The sequence below is a fragment of the Homo sapiens genome, chromosome 10 (genome assembly GCF_000001405.40).
Source record: "Homo sapiens chromosome 10, GRCh38.p14 Primary Assembly".
Taxonomy (NCBI): domain Eukaryota; kingdom Metazoa; phylum Chordata; class Mammalia; order Primates; family Hominidae; genus Homo; species Homo sapiens.
This window is the reverse complement of record NC_000010.11, coordinates 23,270,797-23,292,648: the sequence shown is the minus strand read 5'-3', so window position 1 is coordinate 23,292,648 and position 21,852 is coordinate 23,270,797. Positions and strand designations below refer to the sequence as shown.

General features: G+C 40.2%; 1 protein-coding gene across 10 annotated transcripts in view; it reads left to right on the top strand.

Annotated features, from left to right (window-relative positions):
* C10orf67 (chromosome 10 open reading frame 67) overlaps positions 1–21,852 on the top strand; it is a 142,882-nt gene that overhangs the window by 52,149 nt on the left and 68,881 nt on the right. For 8 of the 10 annotated variants that reach the window (XM_017016031.2, NM_001365862.2, XM_047424968.1 and 5 more), the window contains 3 exons: positions 1,370–1,517; positions 2,691–2,749; positions 10,571–10,636. In XM_017016031.2, the coding sequence (XP_016871520.1) occupies positions 1,370–1,517; positions 2,691–2,749; positions 10,571–10,636 (273 nt within the window). Of the gene's footprint in view, positions 1–1,369; positions 1,518–2,052; positions 2,114–2,690; positions 2,750–10,570; positions 10,637–21,852 lie in introns of those variants that run through there. The other 2 variants (XR_930487.2, XM_011519443.2) reach the window with 2 other exon arrangements.

Sequence of the window (21,852 nt, the reverse complement as noted above, 5' to 3'; positions counted from 1 at the left end):
CACTTCTTTTTCTTTAAAACTGTTACAGGGGAAAATATTTTAATAGTTTACTTCCACATATCCTTAACCTTAAATGAAAGTGTAGTTCCAAAGGGAAATCAGTCGAGAGAAATTATTTTGTTTTTGAGGGAAGATTTTATTTTTAGTTATTGCCATCATGGAATTACTGTAAAAAGAATAAGTTATAATTCACCTGTGATGACCTTAAGATCAAAAGTATTTTTAATGTCTATAGTAATTTTGAACAAGGCATGTAGAATCTTCTATCTCCTTTGGCATAATAATATTTTGAGATTGCATAATCTGTTTAATATCATACCACAATAAAGTATAAAGTTCTGCACCAGCTTCCCCAATCCATTAGAGCTTAATTTTTTTTTTTTTAATGCATGGCAATAAAATCTAGACAGCCATAAGGGAGGATATTCAGATGTTTTCAATAGCTTTGAAACAGACAAGAAGAAGAAGGCAAAAAAAAAAAAAAAAAAAAGAGTAGCTGTCCCAATAAGCGCGTCTATTGCGTAAGAAAAAGCTCTCCCATAATGGACATGGCAAGATTTAAACAAAAGACGCACATAATAAAAATGTAAATGAGTTTGCTTTACTAAAACTATAACTTTAAAGTCTTTTGTTGTAAGTTATCCTGAAACCTTCTTACAAGGTAATCACTGTTTGCATAGAGATTTAAACCAAAGTCTTCAATAGCATTAAACGCCTGCACAGACCCCGTGTGACAAGCATGCAAAGCCATGTTAATGTTCAGAATATGAATTGCCTCTGGGTGGCTCCTCCACCAAGCAGAAAACCAACTGTGTGGATATCCGTGTGCCTGATGGACTCCATGCGGCTCCCAGCCTGAAAACGTCACCACTTTGACATGTGATGTGCTCCTCATGACACTGGCAGCACTGACACTGGGAAATGCCACAAAGGCAACAAGCCCCCCTCCTTAGCCATGCACTCTGCCACCCCCTGGCGCTGCCCGTCCTGGTCCCCCCAGCCTGCCTAGTTACAGGCGGACAGCACTTCAGACACACACAGAGGGAAGTGTGGGTGGAGGGGCCCCAGCTGCCTCCCCGGACACAGCCTCCATAATGAATTGACCTGAATGATGAGGGCACACAAACAGTATGATATGCATTATTCCTGTCAATAAAATGTCCCCATGTGTTGAGGTCTTTGTACAGAATGTACTGGAGCCTTTCTTCCAGCAAGCTCTATTTAGGCTCCTTCCTTTTTACTATTCTTATAAGTGTGTAATAGAATTCAGAAAATTATATGATAGCTTTTCTGTATCTGTATTGTCCTTGTCTTGCATATTTAAATCCTTGGCTCCCTGCTTAGGAATATGGCATTCTCCATCTTTTAGGAATCTTTTGCCAAAGAAACCAGCTCTCCAAAATCAAACCTAGAAAAGGAAAATTTGGAGTACAAAGTGGAAAATGAGAGGCTGCTTCAGATCATTTCAGAGCTTGAAGAAGAAATCCAGATCAATCTAAAAGAAAATTCAGGATTAGGTAACATTTTGAAATCACTTTTGAGAAAAATCTGTATATTGGTCACTTTGTAAAGCTCATAACTATGTTTGTCTTTTCCAAACATACATTCGTTTGGTTATTTACATTTGAAAGATGAATTTCATAGCCATCTTTGCTTTTTATTAAAGATAGCACTTCTTGCTTGGGACAGAGGATGTGTTTGTAGTTGTACCCCTGAGCCATGTCACGTTAATTCAGGGTGTTGTTTCAAGACAGACATTGGCCTTTGCAAAAATTTGCTAATCAATGCTCCATTTCACTTAGAAATATTATAGCCAGATAGAAACTTTTGCTGATTTGTTTCAGATGCTTAACTGATTATCTAAACTTGATAACATTTAAAAACTTAAGAATACATATAGGGATATGCTTTGTAGGGAAAACAGAGTTAGCCCTTCAGGAAAATATGCTAGTACTTACTAGTTACTTCAATTTTTGATGCAAAGCTTAAATACACAATTTCATTTGTATACTTAATACCTCTTTTCTTTCATACCACAAACATTGGTGAAAGTTGTGTTTAAATCACCGAAGTTGTTAGAACATGTGGAAAAGAGAAAAAAATAATCACCAAGGTGAGATTGCTCTAACGTATTTTTTCATTTAACTGTGATCCGAGTGATTATGTTAATTACATGATGTTGTCCTTAATCTGCAGTATTCAAAGCAATGAGCAGGCAATACAATGAATTATAGCAAAATATCAGTAAAATGAGATATATTATATTAATATTATCCCTTGGATGTAAAATTCTACCATGCCAGTATAGTCTCATTCTCTTCTGCTGTGGCATAGCAAGGCTTTTTAGTTTTGGGTCGTTCTTATTAAGTCATAAACTGCCACCTGCTAAAGCTCTTTGTATTGGCTGTGACCAACAGCAAAAATGTCCGTCGCTAGTATTGATGAAAAGCTTTCAGCCCTCAGCCACACTTGGATCTTGAACTTACTTCTTAATCCCTATCTGACCGGCCATCTGAACAGCAGGAAGAAGGCTGCGAATGTCAAGGGCAGTTGTGAAGGTCACAGTCCTGCTAGGCCTTGTGTCCACTATGCCTGCTAGTGCCCCACAGCCTGCCCTGAAGCAGGCCGTTTAAATACAGGGGCATAAGCATGTAATTTCATGGTTGGCCTCTCTCTCCTTTTGTTTACAGAAGATGAACTTATAAGTATGAAAGAGATGGCAGAAAAGGATCACAAAACTATTCAAAAGGTACTATAACGTTTTACGTTGATAAATGACTCTTTTAAATGGAACTATAGGCGCAATTGGCCAAATAACACTGTGTCCAGAGTGTCTTATGACATAGAGGAAAGTTGATTCACATATTTAATCTCTCCCCACTATTTGGGAAGGGTGACTAGAAGCAAATAAGGACTCCACCTTGAAAACTCACGGATGTATAGATACTTCTTTTGTTTGGGATCACTGACCATCTGCCTTGTTGATTTTAAGGCACCGAATAGTTACATGACACAGAGAAGTCTGAAGATGAGCTTGCAGTTAAGGAAAAAGTTATATTAAAAATGAACAGTCTTATTTTCAGATCAGATGTTAGTTGATGTTCATGAATGAGCTGGGCTTATGTTATCTGGTAAATATTTAGAGCAGGGAATTCTTTTGGTAGAATAAAAATCAAGATTTCCAAGGTGGGGCGCAGTGGTTCACACCTGTAATCCTAGCAGCTTTGCAGGCCAAGGTTGGAGAATCTTCTGAGCTCAGAAGTTCAAGGCCAGACTGGAAAACATAGTGAGACCCCTTCTTTATAAAAATTAAAAAAATTAGCCGAGTGTGGTGGCACATATCTGTAGTCCCAGCTACTCGGGATGCTGAAGTAGGAGGATTGTTTAAGCTCAGAAGTTCGGGGCTGCAGTGAACTAGAATTGCACCACTGCACTTCAGCCTAGACAACAGAGTGAGACCCTGTCTGAAACACACATACACACACACCACCAACCCCCACAACAACAAGATTTCTTAGCTCATTGAATTGAATGCAGTAGGATCTCAGCAATTCCTGCTCTCCCTGCACACGTGGGGCTTCCCTACTCTGTTCTCATTTATCCGCAAACTTCCCTATTGTGGCTCTCAGTTACCATTCTGTTATGGTCTATCTTCCCTGCCCTACTGGAGGCTCCATGAGGGTGGAAACTGCGCTATCTGGTCTCTTAGTGGGGAGCACGATGCCTGAGGCACTGAAAAATACTCCAAGAGATGAATAGAATAGGAATGCATTTACAGTTCATACAGTTTACAGATAAACAAGCAGATTCACATCCCCAAGTTATTCCAAATAAACATAAATATCTTCCAGTAACTGAACCGAGTATCCATTTTTAAGTTAAAATGGATTAAAATCAGACAAAATTAAGAATTCAGTTTCACAGTTGCACTAGCCACATTTGAAGAGCTTAGCCACCACATGTGCCTAAGTTTAGGTTCAGATTTCAGCCAGGCCTGATATTGCCATTCAAGATATTCTTTTTTTAATTTTTAAAAATGTTTTGTCTTTTATTTCTTCTAAAAAAATGGGATACATGTGCAGAATGTGCAGGTTTGTTACATAGGTATATATGTGCCATGGTGGTTTGTTGCACCTATTGACCCATCCTCTAAGTTCTCTCTGCTCACCCCCCAGCCCCCCAACAGGCCCTGGTGTGTGTTGTTCCCCAATCTGTGTCCATGTATTCTCAATGTTCAACTCCTACTTATGAGTGAGAACATGCGGTGTTTGGTTTTCTGTTCCTGTGTTAGTTTGCTGAGGATGATGGCTTCCAGCTTCATCCATATCCCTGCAAAGGACATGATCTCATTCCTTTTTATGGCTGCATAGTATTCCATGGTGTATATGTACCACATTTTCTTTATCCAGTCTATCACTGATGGGCATTTGGGTTGGTTTCATGTCTTTGCTATTGTAAATAATGCTGCAGTAAACATATGTGTGCATGTCTCTTTATAGTAAAATGATTTACATTCCTTTGAGTATATACACATTGATGGGATTGCTGGTTCAAATGGTATTTCTGGTTCTAGATCCTTGAGGAATACTCCATACTGTCTTCCACAATGGTTGAACTAATTTGCATTCCCACTAACGTGTAAAAGTGTTCCTATTTCTCTGCAGCCTCACCAGCATCTATTGTTTCCTGACTTTTTAATAATCGCCATTCTGACTGGTGTGACATGGTATCTCATTGTGGTTTTGATTTGCATTTCTCTGATGATCAGTGATGTTGAGCTTTTTTTCACGTTTGTTGGCCACGTAAATGTCTTCTTTTGAGAAGTGTCTGTTCATATCCTTTGCCCACTTTTTGATGGGGTTGTTTGTTTTTTTCTTGTAAATTTGATTAAGTTCCTTGTAGATTCTGGATATTAGACCTTTGTCAGATGGGTAGATTGCAAAGATTTTCTCATTCTGTAGGTTGCCTGTTCACTCTGATGATAGTTTCTTTTGTGCAGAAGCTCTTTAGTTTAATCAGATCCCATTCGTCAATTTTGGCTTTTGTTGCAATTGCTTTTGGTGTTTTTGTCATGAAGTGTTTGCCCACACCTATGTCCTGAATGGTATTGCCTAGGTTTTCTCCTAGGTTTTTATGGTTTTGGGTTTTACATTTAAGTCTTTAATTCATCTTGAGTTAATTTTTGTATAAGGTGTAAGGAAAGGGTCCAGTTTCAGTTTTCTGCATATGGCTAGCCAGTTTTCCCAGCACCATTTACTGGATAGGAGATCCTTTCCCCATTGCTTGTTTTTGTCAGGTTTGTTGAAGATCAGATGGTTGTAGATGTGTGGTGTTATTTCTGAGGTCTCTGTTCTGCTCCATTGGTCTATATGTCTGTTTTGGTACCAGTACCATGCTGTTTTGGTTACTGTAACCTTGTAGTATAGTTTGAAGTTAGGTAGTGTGATGCCTCCAACTTTGTTCTTTTTGCTTAGGATTGTCTTGGCTGTACAGGGTCTTCTTTGATTCCATATGAAATTTAAAATAGTTTTTACTAATTCTGTGAAGAATGTCAATGGTAGTTTGATGGAAATAGCATTGAATCTATAAATTACTTTGGGCAATATGGCCATTTTCATGATATTGATTCTTCCTATCCATAAGGATGGAATGTTTTTTCATTTGTTTGTGTCCTCTCTTATTTCCTCATTCAAGATATTCTCAGATTTTAGATAAAACTACTTTTAAGAAGTATTTTTCAAAGAAATGGTTACCCTGATTGGTCAGAGGTGGGAGATGTTTCCCTGATAACTGAATCCCTCACAGATTTTCACAAGGGGAGTTCATTTTCTTAGGCTTCACCCTATTTGCAGTGACAATAATGTAAATTCCATTTAACCTTCTTGGCATCAACCTCTAAGGTCAGAAATGAAATCTCAGCCTTCTAGTTTCACTTAATAACCAACCAGGGAACCATCACCAGTTTTTCCATTCCTCCCTCCTTTCCTCCCTCCTTTCTCCCTCCTTTCCTCCCTCCCTCCTTTCCTCCCTCCCTCCCTCCTTTCCTTCCTCCCTCCCTCCTTCCCTCCTTCCCACCCTTCCCTCCCTTCCTTCCCTTCCCTCCCTTCCTTCCCTTCCCACCCTTCCTTCCCTCCCTCCCCTCCCTCCCTTCCTTCTTCCCTCCCTTCCTTCTTTGCTTCCCTTCCCTTCCCTTCCCCTCCCCTCACCTCCCCTCCCTCCCCTCCCCTCCCCTCCCCTCCCCTTCCCTTCTATGTCTCAGTCTCACTCTGTCCCTAAGGCTAGAGTACAGTGGTACAATAATATCTCACTTGCAGCCTCAAACATCCAGCCTCAAGCGATCCTCCCATCTCAGCTCCCAGAGTAGCTGGGACTAAACAGGAGTACCACCACACTTGGCTAATTTTTTATTTTTTTATTTTTGCAGAAACAGGGTCTCCCTATATTGCCCAGGCTGGTCTCAAACTCCTGGCCTCAAGTGATGCTCCCACCTCGTCCTCCCAAAGTGTTAGGATTACAGGTGTGAGTCACTGCACTGGGCCTGGTTCTTTATTGAAAATGTTTCTCAAGCTCTTCAGTCTGTATACCACTGGTAGAAATGAGTAGCATGTACTTCTGACTCTCTATAAGGAGTACAATAACAAATTAAAGCAAAAAAACAAAATCTCACTGGTAAGCCACCAGTTGATGGCTGGCTATATCTGTGAGTTTAAATATATCAGTTAAGTGCTGCCTCAGCTTTCTAAATCTGCACTGTGCCATGGTGGCCCTTGGCCACATGTGGCTATTGAGCACTTGAAATGTGGCCAGTGCAAGTGAGGAACTAAGTTTTGATAATTTAATTTCCAATTATTTAAATTCAAATTTAAAAACTCATTTCAGTTCTTGGAAAACCTTTCTGTATATTTTTGATAACTTGGATATGTGACTTTACTTTTTCATTTGTAAATTTTATGAAATCTGAATACAAATAAAGTATTTCCAATGAAAACGTAGCTCCCCAATTGAGATGTGCTGTGAGTGAAAAATACACACTAGATTTCAAAGACTTGGTGTAAAAAATGTGAAATGTCTCACTAATAATTTTTTATATTGATTACACATTGAAATAATATTTTGAATATATATTGGGATAAAAAACACATTATTAAAATTGCTTTTACCTATTTCTGTTGCCTTTTTAACACAGCTACTATAAAATTCAAAATTATATATGACTCACATTATATTTCTGATAGCTTTGTTATGTATAAAATAATATATAAATATAATATAATATATATAACAAATTATATAATATAGTATAGCAGAGTCCTAATCTGCTTGATTTTTTTTTTTAATTCTGTCTTTCTTTTCATTTTTTCTTTACATGCACTGGAACTTCTCATAGACATTGAATATAGGGACATTTTGGTACTGAGCAGAAAGAATCTAGAACCCTGGATTCCTGTTCCATTTTTGGAACTAGGTCCCCTGGGGCCAGTGCCTGTCTCCTCCTTCCTGTTTCTCCCAGGCGTACTGTGTGGACTGAATGAGATAATGAATGTCAGCATGCTTTGTCAACTGGGAAGCAGTTCAGATGTTGTTGAACAAATGACAGCTGATATTTGCTGGTTTTTTTCCAATATCCTGCACTAAATCAATTAGTTCAGCAATGTTTATTAGTTGCCTTTAAGTACTAGGCACTGTGCTACTGCTAGAAAAAACAAAATGCATGTATATACCTATGGTCCCTTCTGGAGACAGGTGAAGTCTACAGGGATAGACCAAAACCACAGGGCAGTGAGATAGGGACTATAAGAGAAGTGTGTACTAGAGAAGAGATGCCTGGCTTCATCTGGAAGATTCTAGAAAACCTTCATAAACAGTTCCACAACCTTTCTCACGTTCTCCTGTTGAGGCCCACTGGAGCTGATTTTTTAGGTTTTTTTGTTTGTTTGTTTGTTTGTTTGTTTGGGGGTTTTTTGAGATAAGGTCTTGCTTTGTTGCCTGCGATGGAGTGCAGTGGCATGATCATGGCTCACTGCAGCCTTCCTGGGCTCAAGCAATTCTCCCACCTCAATCTCCTGAGTAGGTTGGACTACAGGCATGCACCACACATGGCTAAATTTTTTTTTTAATTTTTTTTTTTTGTGGAGATGGTCTCTCACTATGTTGCTCAGGCTGGTCTCGAACTCCTGGGCTCAAGGGATCCTCCCACCTCACCCTCCCAAAGTGCTGGGATCATAGGCGTGAGCCACCGTGCTGGGCTTTGGAGCTGATTTTTCCAGGCAGGCAAGAGTGGAAGAGCTGGGTACAGGGTATGAATGCATAAAGCCTGACAGGGGTTTGTGGAACTGCTTGTGACTGGATGTGGCTCCAGAATGCAGTAGGAATCTGATGAAACTATATAGGAAGAATCTGTAGTGGGGCAGACAGAGTGGGGAGACCAGGGGTGTGGGGAAGGGGGTGTAAGCAGGAAATGGAAGAATGGAAAGGAGCAACTCAGAAGCCTTCAGATAACCACGTGTTCCCCCCACCCTTTTTTTTTTTTTTTTAAGCCCTGGATGCACTTAAAAACAGGTTGAAAATGGGACTGAATTTGGGGAAGCTGACCTCTTGCCATCTATCTGGGCTAAGCATGGTCAGTTATGGAATTCATAGCTTTTGTGTTTTAATTCCAGGAATCAAATACCAGCTGTATCTGTGTCGGTCTTCCAGCTGCTGCCACAGTAGACTCTGTTCTCATGAATTTCATTCTGGGAGGGAGGCAGACCCGGAGTCAGAGAGCACAGTACAGGTGTGATAGCGTCAGGATGCAGAGAAGCAGAGTTTGGTGTGCGGCACACAAGAGGCATGCCCAGCCTGGACTCTACGGGATCAGGGAAGGTTGGAGAAAGGATACTGCAATGGCCCCGAGAAGAGCAGTTAGAGTTAGCCAGGAAAGAGATGCAGGAGAGTTGGGAGGGGTATTCTAAGTACCACGCAAAAGCACCTTGTATAGCAAAGGGCGTGTGGTTTCCTGTAGCTGAAGAGAACATGAGGGCAAGGAGTGGCAAGGGGCAGAGGACGGTGGCAGAAGATTATATTCATGCAGAAAGGTTTGAATTACCTTCTGAGTGCGTTGGAGGGCCTTGAACATTGCGGCAGGATCAGATTTGTGTTTCAGAAAGAAAATTAATGGGAGGGAGGAAAGCCCGGAACCAGAGTCCAGTGAAGTTGTTGCTTGGATAAGCCAGGGAAACAATAAAGAACTGAAACAAGAACAGTGACACTGGGGATGTTTATTAAATTCATACAGACATGAATTAATTAAATTGAATGCATATCACAACGAAAGGTTGAATTTTACTAGCCTATAACACACACAAACAGCAATTGATCAACGTAAATACAAAGGCAAGTCACAAGGGAACAAGGGCCCTGCAGTGAATGGGGTTTTTGTTTGTTTTTTCATTTTTAATTTTTGTGGGTACCTAGTAGGTGTATATATTTACAGAGTATATGAAATATTTTGATACAGGCATAGAATGTGTAATAATCACATGAGGGTAAGTGGGGTATGCATCACCTCAAGCATTTATCCTTTGTATTACGAACAATCCATTTATACTCTTTTAGTTATTTTTAAATATACAATTAAAGTATTGACTATGGTCACCCTGTTGTGCTATCAAATACTAGGTCTTATTCATTCTTCCTAGCCGTTTTTTTTTTGTACCATTAACCCTATTACCCCACCCCTCACTACCCTTCCCAGCATCTGGTAACCATCCGTCTTCTCTCTATCTCCGTAAGTTCAATTGTTTCAATTTCTAGCTCCCACAAATAAATGGTTGGTTTGTTTAAAGACAGGGTCTTGTTTCTAGGCTGGAGTGCAGTGGTGCGACCATAGTTCATTGCAGCCTTAAATTCCTGGGCTCAAGCAATCCTCCTGCTTCAGCCTCCGAAGTAGCTTGGATTACAGGCACATGCCACCATGCCCAGCTAATTTTTGTATTTTTAGTAGAAATGGGGTTTCACCATGTGGGTCAGGCTGGTCTTGAACTCCTGACCTCAGGTGATCCACCCGCCTCAGCCTTCCAAAGTGCTGGGACTACCAGGTTGGTCTCACACCCTTGGCCTCAAGCAATCCTCCTGCCTCAGCCTCTCAAAGCACTGGGATTACAGGTGTGAGCCACTGCACCCAGCCCAGTGTATGCTTCTGATAGCTATTTTCAATTGGCATAAATGTGGTTTGATATGCACATAGACATAGCGCAAAACCCTAAAATAAGAGATGGGTCACATAAAGCCTTAAGTAAAATTGTTCTTTTTGACAGAGTAGGACTTGCTTTATTGTGATGTTACATTTTGATGGCATGGGGTGAGAAAAGGTGTAAATAAATCGGTATTTTCTGTGTATATTTTACTTGCTTGCATAATAATTCCGTAATAATATAAGATGATAATCTGTAGAAATTTATTTTTCTTTTGATCAGATTGAGATCCATTTTTCTCATATTAAAATATGTTTCACTAAATTTTCTTGAGGAGGGATTTTAGGTGTTCTGTTCTTATCTTTAATAAAAATATAATTTCTTCTCTATTTCAGTTAATGGATAGTAGAGACAGATTAAGAGAAGAGCTTCATTATGAAAAATCATTAGTTCAGGATGTGGTAAGATGATTTACATTATTTCCTAACAAATTTGAATTCAGGAATTTAATTTAACCATGAAAGTTTTATAAACTTTATTTGTGATTGTTTCCTGTGAATGACTCATTTCATCTTTATCAAAAATCTAAGTACATGTAAAATTATAAACATATGTAAATGGTCATTTTAAAGAAATCAGTTTGAGTAGCACAGCAATAAATATGCTTACTAGAGTCTTGTGTAAAAAATAGTATTACCATTTAAAACCATGTATAAAATTTCTGCATTTTATTATGGAGATTTAAAAAAACAAATATGAGAGCCCGCTATTTTGAAGGAATTGCTATTTTCAGTTACAAATTGCCATAAGTGACAATAAAAAAAGAGCCCAGCTAGATATTTTGGCATTCTGTGTTAGTCTCATAAGAAAACACTGCCTTTTTATGTTCTTTTAAGAGAACTTTCCAGACGGCTGGTCTTTTATCAGTTGACTACCCAGCCCCCAGCCCCCAGCCCCGCCACAGCAGCCCCCTGCCCAGCTTATGGTGGCGTATTTGGCTTTCAGCTGATTACCACTAGTATGTCTTTGTTACGGTAAACTGACTGTGTTTATTATAATAAAAAATAAAACACAGCTTGACTTGCGTTCTAAATGTGCTTGAAAAGAATATGATACTGTTTGGAAGAGAAAAGGTTGCTCATAGGAAATCAACACCACTTCAGATATTGAAACATTCGCTTTTTTACAGCTTGTCACACTTTGTGCCAAGTCATGACTGTTTCCCTAACTCTGTTTTGTTACTCTCAGCACCCTGTGTTTTGGGTTCCTTGTCATAGAAATTAATGCAAAACAATTCTCCTGGATTACAATAAAGCCTTCTACGAAACCAACTTGGGAATGCAGGCAACGAAAAAAATTTATGGTTGGCGATTCGCAAAAACCATGTGTTAACAAATGTGTTATTTTGGGCCTTCTACTTTTAAATACCTGGCATATAAAAATAGACTCCATTATTTGAGTCTACTTGGTGAATTTCTTCTACCCCCACCCCCACTCTCCTCTGTCATTCCTCCAAAGTTCAGGCTTTGCTTTGGAAAACAAACAACTAAATATATGTGCACATTGTCATTAAAATTGAAAGTGTTTTTATAGAGTGGAAAGCCAATGTTATATTGTTTGTTAGCAGCAATAGAGAAGAAATTAAACTACTCAATCAGTGAATTTGTGCCTATACTAGGAGCAGATCCCATACTCTTTGAATTACTTTGCCTCTTTATTTTAACTGTAAGCCTTTAACGGGTGCTATTGTATTGCTCACAGGGGAACCAATCACGTTTTATTTTGTGGTTTAGAAGTTTGTTGCGCCCCAAGCTTGTTGCCAAGCAGCAAGAGCCTGCACCACAAACCCCACGACAGCGAAAGAGCCTTCAGGATGCCTAGACTAGTCTAGGAGCTCATGATTTCAATAGAGGGAGTGGGCTTGAGGTTCTTCTTGTGATGGAGGTTTCCATTGCATACCTGCTTTGGACCCATCGAGGTCACTATTTCGCCACCTTCTCCCTATCCCTGCAAGGCATTCTGTTACTCACTTGGAGGCAGCCTGGCCTTGTTGTTGCTATTTTGTGCTTCCTTTGTTTCTCGCTATCCTGCGTTTTTCCAGGACCCAGGATTTGTGATTGCACTGACAAGGGAGAGTGGGAGAAGGTGGAGTTGACCACAGTCGTTTTGTAAAAATGTAAATACTTTCTAGCTAGAAGGGTTTTGTTACATGCTTGTCTATTACTATTTTCCAATGAAAGTTATTTTCTGACTTGTTAAGAGTGCAAAAAGTCAAAGAACTGGTAGTAAAGAGGCACAATCAGTAAGTATATGTAAACTGGCTGTGTGTGGCAGCTCATGCCTGTAATCCCAGTGCTTTGGGAGACTGAGATGGGAGGATCACTTGAGCCCAGGAGTTCGAGACCTGCCTGAGCAACATAGTGAGGCCCCGTTTTTATATAAAATAAAAAAGATTAGCTAGGCATGGTAGCGCATGCCTGCAGTCCTCCTACTCAGGAGGCTAGGTGGGAAGTGTGAGGATCACTTGAGCCTAGGAGTTTGACACTGCAGTGAGCTGATTGTACCACTGCTTTTCAGCCCGGGCGACAGAGCAAGACACTGTCTATTTAAAAAAATAGATAAATATTTATTTATTTATTTATTATATACAACTTATACACATATTTATTATTTATATAATATATATGTTAGGTAAGCAATGCAACCTAGAGTGATTGTATCCTTAGAATGGCTTTTGAGGAAGCATATGAAATAATTTTGTATCTTCCCATGATTCCTAGGCTGAGTGGCTTTCACTTATTTTGAAGTTAACAAAAGAGAGGGTCCTCATCAGAAAAACACCATGATTGAACTCTTTCTCTTACTTCATTTCCATCTGCTTCATCCCCGTGCACCCTATTTCTTGGAACAATCCAGACTGGAGATAGGAAGGAAGTACATAGGTTGCCCTAGCCCCATTCTGGGGGCACAGCACTGAGTTACCATTGCAGTCTCCCTCGCTCCCACAACTAGGTTCCTGACACCTGCGTTCCCTCCGAGGCATGCCTCAAGCCTGTGCAGTCCTGTTATATGTCATGTGGCAGTATTTGGCCATCCAGTTAGGAAACAGATGTTTCCGTGGCCTGTGCAAAACCACGTTTACATGGAAGCTCTGTGAATAGTGGCTCTTCATCAAGACAAACATGACACAAGCGTGGCCTAATGTGACTGTGTCCCTGTATGCCATGGAAGGCAGAGGAGCAAGTTCTGCTGTCCATGTGGTCCCTGTCTCGCTATCAGTGAGTCTCTGCCCACTGGTCAGTCAAATGTGCTCCATGCAATCTTGGATATTTATTAGTCCTGCATAGCCTTCACAATCTAATTTTTAAAATAACATTTATAAAATATAGAGACAGGGCCTCGCTATATTGCCCAGGCTGGTCTTGAACTCCTGGACTCAAGCAATCCTCCTGCCTCAGCCTCCTAAAGTGTTGGGATTACAGGCATGAGCCGCTGCGACCGACCCACAATCCACTTAGGAAGTCAAAGAGCTAGAAGGCAAACCTTGTGAAAGGAAGAGCTCTCCTGAGGGTGTGTTGTTCAAAATTCATCAGAATGAGCCCCATGAATTCTTGCAGCCATCTACCCTACCTGAAATCAGCAGGTAGATTTCTCTCTTTACACTCAGGAGATTCAGATAAGGATGCCTCAGAGTTCTGTTCCTTCTGTGCTGTTCCTTCTCCCTGAACTGACCTCTCTTGGTCAGCACCTGGTTAGCTCCTCTCATCTTTCAGGTCGGAGGTCAGATGCTGCCTCCTCTGGGAAACTTCTCCCACCCTGACTTCCCTTGCCTGGAAGAGGTGCCCACCCTCATGCTGGCGTGGCACACAGTTCTCCTCTTGTGGCTCTCATCACATTCTATAGAGATGGCCTGTTATCTTACCTGCTGTTTCCATTCTGTGAGCTACAGTTTTGCCCGTAAAACCTAACATGGTGGCCCTCATGGAGTAGATGGCCAATAAATATTTGTTATGAGTAAATGATGGAAGGGATAACAAAAAATATTTATTTGAGAATGGCTTAACCCACACTATATATGGCATGAACTATATGTACTTTAATAAGCCCGTAATACTGTTAATACACATGTGACACAGCTATACAATACACAGAGTAACTACAGTGGGGTTTCCAGGATTAATTTCCAGGTTCCATTCCAGGGGTTCTCAACCTTTTTGGTCTCAGGATCGCTTTACAATCTTAAGTGTCATTGAGGTCCCCCAAGAAAATTTGGTTTAGATGGTGATACAGTTTGGATGTGTGTTCCCATCAAAATCTCATATAGAAATGTAAGCTCCAATGTTGGAGTGGGGGCCTCATGGGAGGTGATTGTATCATGCGGGCAGATTTCTCATGAATGGTTTAGCGTCATCTCCCATGATACTGTCTTCACTATAGTGAGTGAGTTCTGGTCATTTAAAAATGTATAGCACCTCCCCACTTCTCTCTCTCGCTCCTGCTCCCACCATGTGAGACACCTGCTCCCCCTTCACCTTCCACCATGATTGGAATCTTCTTGAGGTCTCCCCAGCAGCAGAAGCCCCTGTGCTTCCTGTACAGCGTGCAGAACCGTGAGCCAATTAAACCTCTTTTCTCTATAAATTACCCAGTCTCAGATATTTCTTTATAGCAATGTGAGAATAGACTAACACAGATGGGTTTTATCTATTGATATTTACCATATATGAAAGGAAAACAGAATCAAATTATTTATTAAATGACTTGAAAATAACAACACTAAACTCTTTACATGCTGACATAAATGGCATATTGTTTATAAGAAAATCTTTCTCAACACAGAAAATGTTTAGCAAAAGTGGCTTTGTCTTACATATGTGTGTATTTTGTATACGTGTGTGTGTTATTATTTTTTTTTTTTTTTTGGAGTTGGTCATACTCTGTCACCCAGACTGCAGTGCAGTGGCACAATCATGGCTCACTGCAGCCTTGACTTCCTGGGCTCAGGTTATTCTCCTGCCTCAGCCTCCCAAGTAGCTGGGATTACAGCCATGCACCAAGATGTCCGGCTAATTTTTCTATTTTTTGTAGAGACAGGGTTTTGCCACATTGCCCAGGCTGGTTGTGAACTCCTGGGCTCAAGTGATCCACCCATCTCAGCCTCCCAAAGTGCTAGAATTACAAGCATGAGCCACCATACCCAGCCACTTATTTCTGCAAATTTCTTTAGTATTTGGCTTCCTGGAAAATATTTAAATTCTCGTAGATGCTTCTGTATTCTCTGCCATGATAAATATCACGTAGCTTCTGAAAAACTCCAGTGTCCACTTGTGAGACCATGAGAATGAAGAAACAGTTACAGATCTCTTAGTATTATTATGAGAATAATTTAGGCCTCACAGAACCCCTAAGGTTTGGGGCACCTTAGGGGTCCTTGGACCACATGTTGAGATCTGCTGCCTCATATAATAAGGAAAAACTCTTAGCCAGGTGTGGTTAAGTGAAATGTCTTATCCGTTTGTGATTCTGATCCTCTTCCTTTGTTTTCATTTAATTTATTTATTCACCAATTCCTTTCCCTGGCACATCGCTATTAGCATGTTACACTTTCTAATACATTTACTAATACTAATACATTTACATAAATATAAGCCATTACCCCTGCGCTCAGGGAGGTGGTCCAAATTTCCACATAAGGAAATTGCCATTTATCTCTCGCAACGTGGTGATTAGGCCAACTGCTCACCATGGGCAATATCTAGTGTTGTGCTGTTGTATTCCTAGATGGAATACAAGGGTACAGGCATACATACCTCTAGAATGTGTGGTGCAGGTATAAAGTTTATTGATTAAAAACTTACAAGAAGAAAATTAACAGACAGGACACACTCCTTTGGTCTTTTATTAGCCCACCAAGAGGAGAGCTCGGGTAAGGTGAATCACAGGAATTGCTTGGGAGAGGGATCCCCCACACACACCACTTTATATATTTATAGGGAAGTTGGCCATCTAGCACACTATATGACAATGGGAGCTTCCTGGCCAGGGAATTGTCTTTCTAAAAAGGAGAGCACCCAAAGCTGAGCTAGAGGAGGTGGCATCAATGACTTCTGTATGAATAGGAGTCCTGCAGGTCTTCAAGAGGCTCCCTTTATCCCCCCCTGAGCCATTTCACTGACCAAGCAACAGAGTTGAGGAAGGAGCTATTGGGTCATGGGTTTGTCTGTTCCCACTAGTAATGTGTAAAGGTTCCTTCCCTCCTCAGAGAAAAGAGGAGTGGATTATCCACACCTACACTCAGTGGTTAAAGCATTGATCATGACTGATAGGGTGACTATCTCATCCTGGTTTGTTCATTCTTAGCACTGAAAGCCCTACATCCTGAGAAACCCCACAGTCCTAAGAAAAACCAGAATCGTTAATCACCCTAATGGGAAGAAACGTGGAAGCTTCTTCTATTACTCCAGGGATTCCAAATAAACATAAGTTCATGTATCAACTCCAATGTATTGAGAGAGAATTCTGAGGCAGAATGGAAACTGTAGGAAAAAGGGCTCAAACTTTTAAAAATTAACCATATTGATATTGATTACAGGGAAAACTTGTCAAGTGAGCTAGCATTCAAAGTGACTCCCGCCCAACTTTTTTAAAACCTCAAAAAATTCTAGATACAGTATTACAAACATCTTTGTAAAAGCATAAAAAATTGACCAGGGACATGGGGCTTACCTGGTCAAAAGTCAAACATCAAGGGAAACACAGAGGGGTCAGTTGAGGTTTCCAAGCTGATTGTCCTGAGGGGATTTACTCATCTGCACTAAACAGAAGTCACAGTGCAGGGCATGCTAGAGTGCCTCTGTGTGTGTGTGCGTGTGCATGTGTGTGTGTATGTGTGTGTAGGGGTAATCAGCAGTGATCTCTTGCATTAGGCTGAGAACCAAAGGTCATTCCTGCAGGATGAATGTGACCAAATGTAAACCTGCAACCTACCTAATACCCAGAGGCCTGCAGGGGAGAGTTGCCTCTGTACTGAGCAACACAAGGGGGACAATCTCTTCCCGAAGGGTTTTGAGAGGCAGGACTTACAGGGGATTTGCAACTCAAATTTGTATTCACAGAACCTCAAACCCTCAGTTTAGTTAGTTTGCTTGTTTTTAAGAGATGCGATCTTGATAGGTTGCATAAGCTGATCTCGAACTCCTGTGCTCAAGCAATCCTCCCACCTCAGCCTCCCAAGTAGCTGGGACTACGTGCCACTGTACCTTGCACCTGGCATCAGTTTGGTTTTAAGTGAATAGGAAGTACCCCTGAAAGAAGCAAATGGAAATACTCTCTGTAAGGAAGTAATTTAATCCTAAGCCTCAGAGAATTCCCAGAATTCTCTCCCCTACAATTATAGGAGCAATTAATATCACATAGTCAAAGATAAGGAAGCACACAAGGAAATAAGGAACCACCTGTGTGTTGCAGCAAGTCAGGGACCCCGAACAGAGGGACCGGCTGAAGCTGCGGCAGAAGAACATAAATTGTGAAGATTTCATGGACATTTATTAGTTCCCAAAATTAATACTTTTATAATTTCTTACACCTGTCTTTACTGCAGTCTCTGAACATAAATTGTGAACATTTCATGGACATTTATTAGTTCCCAAAATTAATACTTTTATAATTTCCTATGCCTATTAAATCCTAGGCATAGGATTTAATCTCTCAATCCCGTCATCTTTGTAAGCTGAGGATGTATGTCACCTCAGGACCCTGTGATGATTGCGTTAACTGTACAAATTGTAAAACGTGTATTTGAACAATATAAAATCAGTGCACCCTGAAAAAGAACAGGATAACAGTGATTTTCAGGGAACAAGGAAAGATAACCATAAGGTCTGACAGCCTGCGGGGTCGGGCAGAATAGAGCCATATTTTTCTTCCTGCAGGGAGCCTATATAAACAGACGTGTGAGTAGGAGAAATATCACCGAATTCTTTTCCCAGCAAGAAATATTAATAATTAATATCCTGGGAAAGGAATGCATTCCCAGGGGTAGGTCTATAGACGGCCGCTCTGGGAGTGTCTGTCTTATGCTGTTGAGATAAGGGATGAAATACGCCCTGGTCTCCTGCAGTGCCCTCAGGCTTACTAGGATTGGGAAATTCCAGCCTGGTAAATTCTAGTCAGACCAGTTGTCTGCTCCCGAACGCTGTTTCCTGTTAAGATGTTTATCAAGACAGTGTGTGCCCAGCGGGACATGGACCTGCATCAGTAATTCTAATTTCTCCCTTGCCTTGTGATCTTGCTCTGCCCTTTGACTTGTGATCTTTCATTGCCCTTTGAAGCGTGTGATCTCTGTGACCCACTCCCTATTCGTACACTGCCTCCCCTTTTGAAATCCCTAATAAAAACTTGCTGGTTTTGCAGCTCGGGGGCGCCATCACGGTCCTACCAATATGTGATGATACCTCCGGAGGCCCAGCTATAAAATTTCTCTCTTTGTACTTTTTCTCTTTATTTCTCAGACTGGCCAACACTTGGGGAAAATAGAAAGAACCTACATTGAAATATTGGGGGCTGGTTCCCCCAATACCTGTGAGAAACAATACAGAGTAAAAACAACTACGTGGACTTCAGAAGTTCAAGTTTTCCAACAATATTTACTGTGTGTGGTAGTTTGCCTCCAAAAGTGGAGCAGGACTTGGTCCTAGTCAAGGAACTGGCAATATATGCCTAGTTGGATTTCAAAATTACTGTGGACCAGCTATTGCTCTATGCCTCCTTCTTCCCTTGAATGGAGTGGGATCTCTAGTGCTTATCCTGTGTCCCACAATGGAACATTGGCTGTGTGGGGACAGCTAACTTGTCTCTTTAGTTTCTGGATCTTCAGATCAAGAGAGATTGTACTCAAGGAGCCTCATCTGCACCTGGACCTGATTTAGATAATGAGATTCCAGACTGCAAGCTGATGCTATAGTACAATGAGATTTTTTAAGGCCTTGAGTGAAGATAAATATATTTTGTTCATGGGAAGAATATAAAATAATGGAGCCAGAAGCAGGTGGATGAAGAAAAAGCATTTGAGGGACTCCAATTTCCATTCATGATAAAAAATACTCTCAGCAAACTGGGAATAGAAGAGAACCTCTCAAGCTGATAGGCGATATCTACGAAACACACTATTATCATGGTTGATAGTGAAAGGATGAAGATTTTGAGTCTGAAGTCAGAAATATGACAAGAATTTCTGCTCTTATCACTTCCATTCAACATTGTATTTTAGGTCCTAACCAGTGCAATAATGCACACACACAAAAATAAATAACATCCAGATTGGGAAGGAAGAGGTAGAACTTTTTAAATTCCCAGACGACATGATCATCTCTATAGGAAATCCTAACAAATCTACAAAAATAGCTACTAGAATTAATAAGTGAATGCAGAAAGGTTGCAAAGATCAAGATACAAAAATCTTGTACTTCTATATATAAGCAATGAGCAATCAAAAATTGAAATTTTGAAAAACACCAGTTATGATAGCATCAAACAATATGAAGTGCTTATGGATAAACATGGCAAAATACGCATAAAACATGTACAGTTAATAATATAAAATACTGCTGAAATAAATGAAAGACTTAAATAGGTGCAGAAATATTCCATTGTTCATGATTCAGGAGATGCATATTATCAAGCTGTCAATTCTCTCCAGATTGATTTATAGATTAAACACAATCCTAATCAAAATCCCAGCAGGGTTTTTGTTGTTGTTGTTGAAATCAACAAGCCTATCCTAAAATTTATATAGACATGCACAAGACCTGGGATAGCTAAAACAATTTTGAAAAAGAGCAAAGTTGGAAGATGCACATGCCTGATTCAAACTTGCTGTAAAACTATAGTAGTCAAGGTAAAGTGGTCTTGGCATAAGGATAAACATAGATTGCTGGAATAGACTAGAGAATCTAGAAGTAGAACTTATGGATCATATATAATGAATTGATTTCTGACCAAGATGCAAACGCAATTCAAGTAGTAAGGATAATCTTTTCAACAAATAGTACTGAAACAATTGGACAGCAATAAGTGAAAAATGAACTTCAACCCTTACCTGACACCTCATGTAAAAGTTAACTTGAAATGGATCAGAATTGTAATAGCTGAAGCTACAAAACTTCTAGAATAAGGTATAAGAGATAATCTTAGTGGTCTCAGATTTGGCAAAGATTTCTTAAATAACAAATTACAGTTTATCAAAAATTTAAAAAGTTTAGCCAGGCATGGTGGCTCACGCCTGTAATCCCAACACTTTGGGAGGCCAAGGCTGATGGATTGCTTGAGCCCAGGAGTTCAAGACCAGCGTGGGCAACATGATGAAACTTCATCTCTATAAAAAATAGAAAAATTAGGTAGTCATGTTGGCATGCACCTGTAGTCTCAGATACTTCAGAGGCTGAGGTGGGTGGATCACCTGAATCCAGGGAGGTCAAGGCTGCAGTGAGCCCTGATCACATCACTGATCACACCACTGCACTCCAGCCTGGGTGACAGAGCAAGACATTGTCTCAAACAACAACAACAAAAAGTTTACTCTTCAAAAAAATTTTTTAATGAAAAAACAAACCACAGAGTGGGAGGAAATATTTGCAAAATATATTTAACAAAGGATTTGCATATAGACTATGCAAAGAACTCTTACAATGTAATAATACGAAAACAACCCAATTTTTTAAATGGCCAAGCTATTTGAACAGGCACTTTATTTAAAAAGATATATAGATGGCAAATGATGACATAAAAAGATGCTCAACATCATTAGTCTTTAGGGAGATACAAATTAAAATCTCAATGAAATATTGCTATATACTCACTAGCATGGCTAAAATTTAAAAGGTCGACCATATAAAGTGTTGTCAAGGATGTGGAGCAACTAGAACTCTTATTCTCTGCTAGTGGAAATGTAAACTATACAACCATTTAGAAAAATATTTTGACAGCTAAAAGAAATTTCTAAAATTCTATACTTAACAGATGGTCTGGCTATCCCACTCCTTGGTATTTACCCAAGATAAATAAAAGCACATGTTCACACAAAGTCTTGGGTCACAAATGTTTATAGCAGCTTTGTTTGTAAGAGCAAAAAACTGGAAACACCTCTGGTATACATTAATAGATAGAGCGGAGTCTAAGTCTCTTTGTAGGACTCTAAGAGCATGCTTTTTGAATCTGGGTGCTCCAGTATTGGGTGCATATACATTCAGGATAGTTAGCTCTTCTTGTTGAATTGAACCTTTTACCATTATGTAGTGCCCTTCATTGTCTTTTTTGATCTTCGTTGGTTTAAAGTCTGTTTAGTCAGAAACTAGGATTGTGATCCCACTTTTTTCTGTTTTCCTTTTGCTTGGTAAATTTCTCCCTCCTCCCTTTATTTTGAGCATATGTGTTTCTTTGAATGTGAGAGGGGTCTGTTGAAGACAGCATACTGATGGGTCTTGACTCTTTATCCAACTTGCCATTTTATGTCTTTTAATTGGGGCTCTGTCCCAGGGAGAGATCAGAGTTCTGTACATATAACCCTGGCTGGAGTTGCTGAAATTCCTGCAGGGAGGCCCCACCCAGTGAGGAGAGCTGGATCAGGGTTCCACTTAAAGAAGCAGTCTGGCCACTATTTCTGCACAGCAGCTGTGCTGCA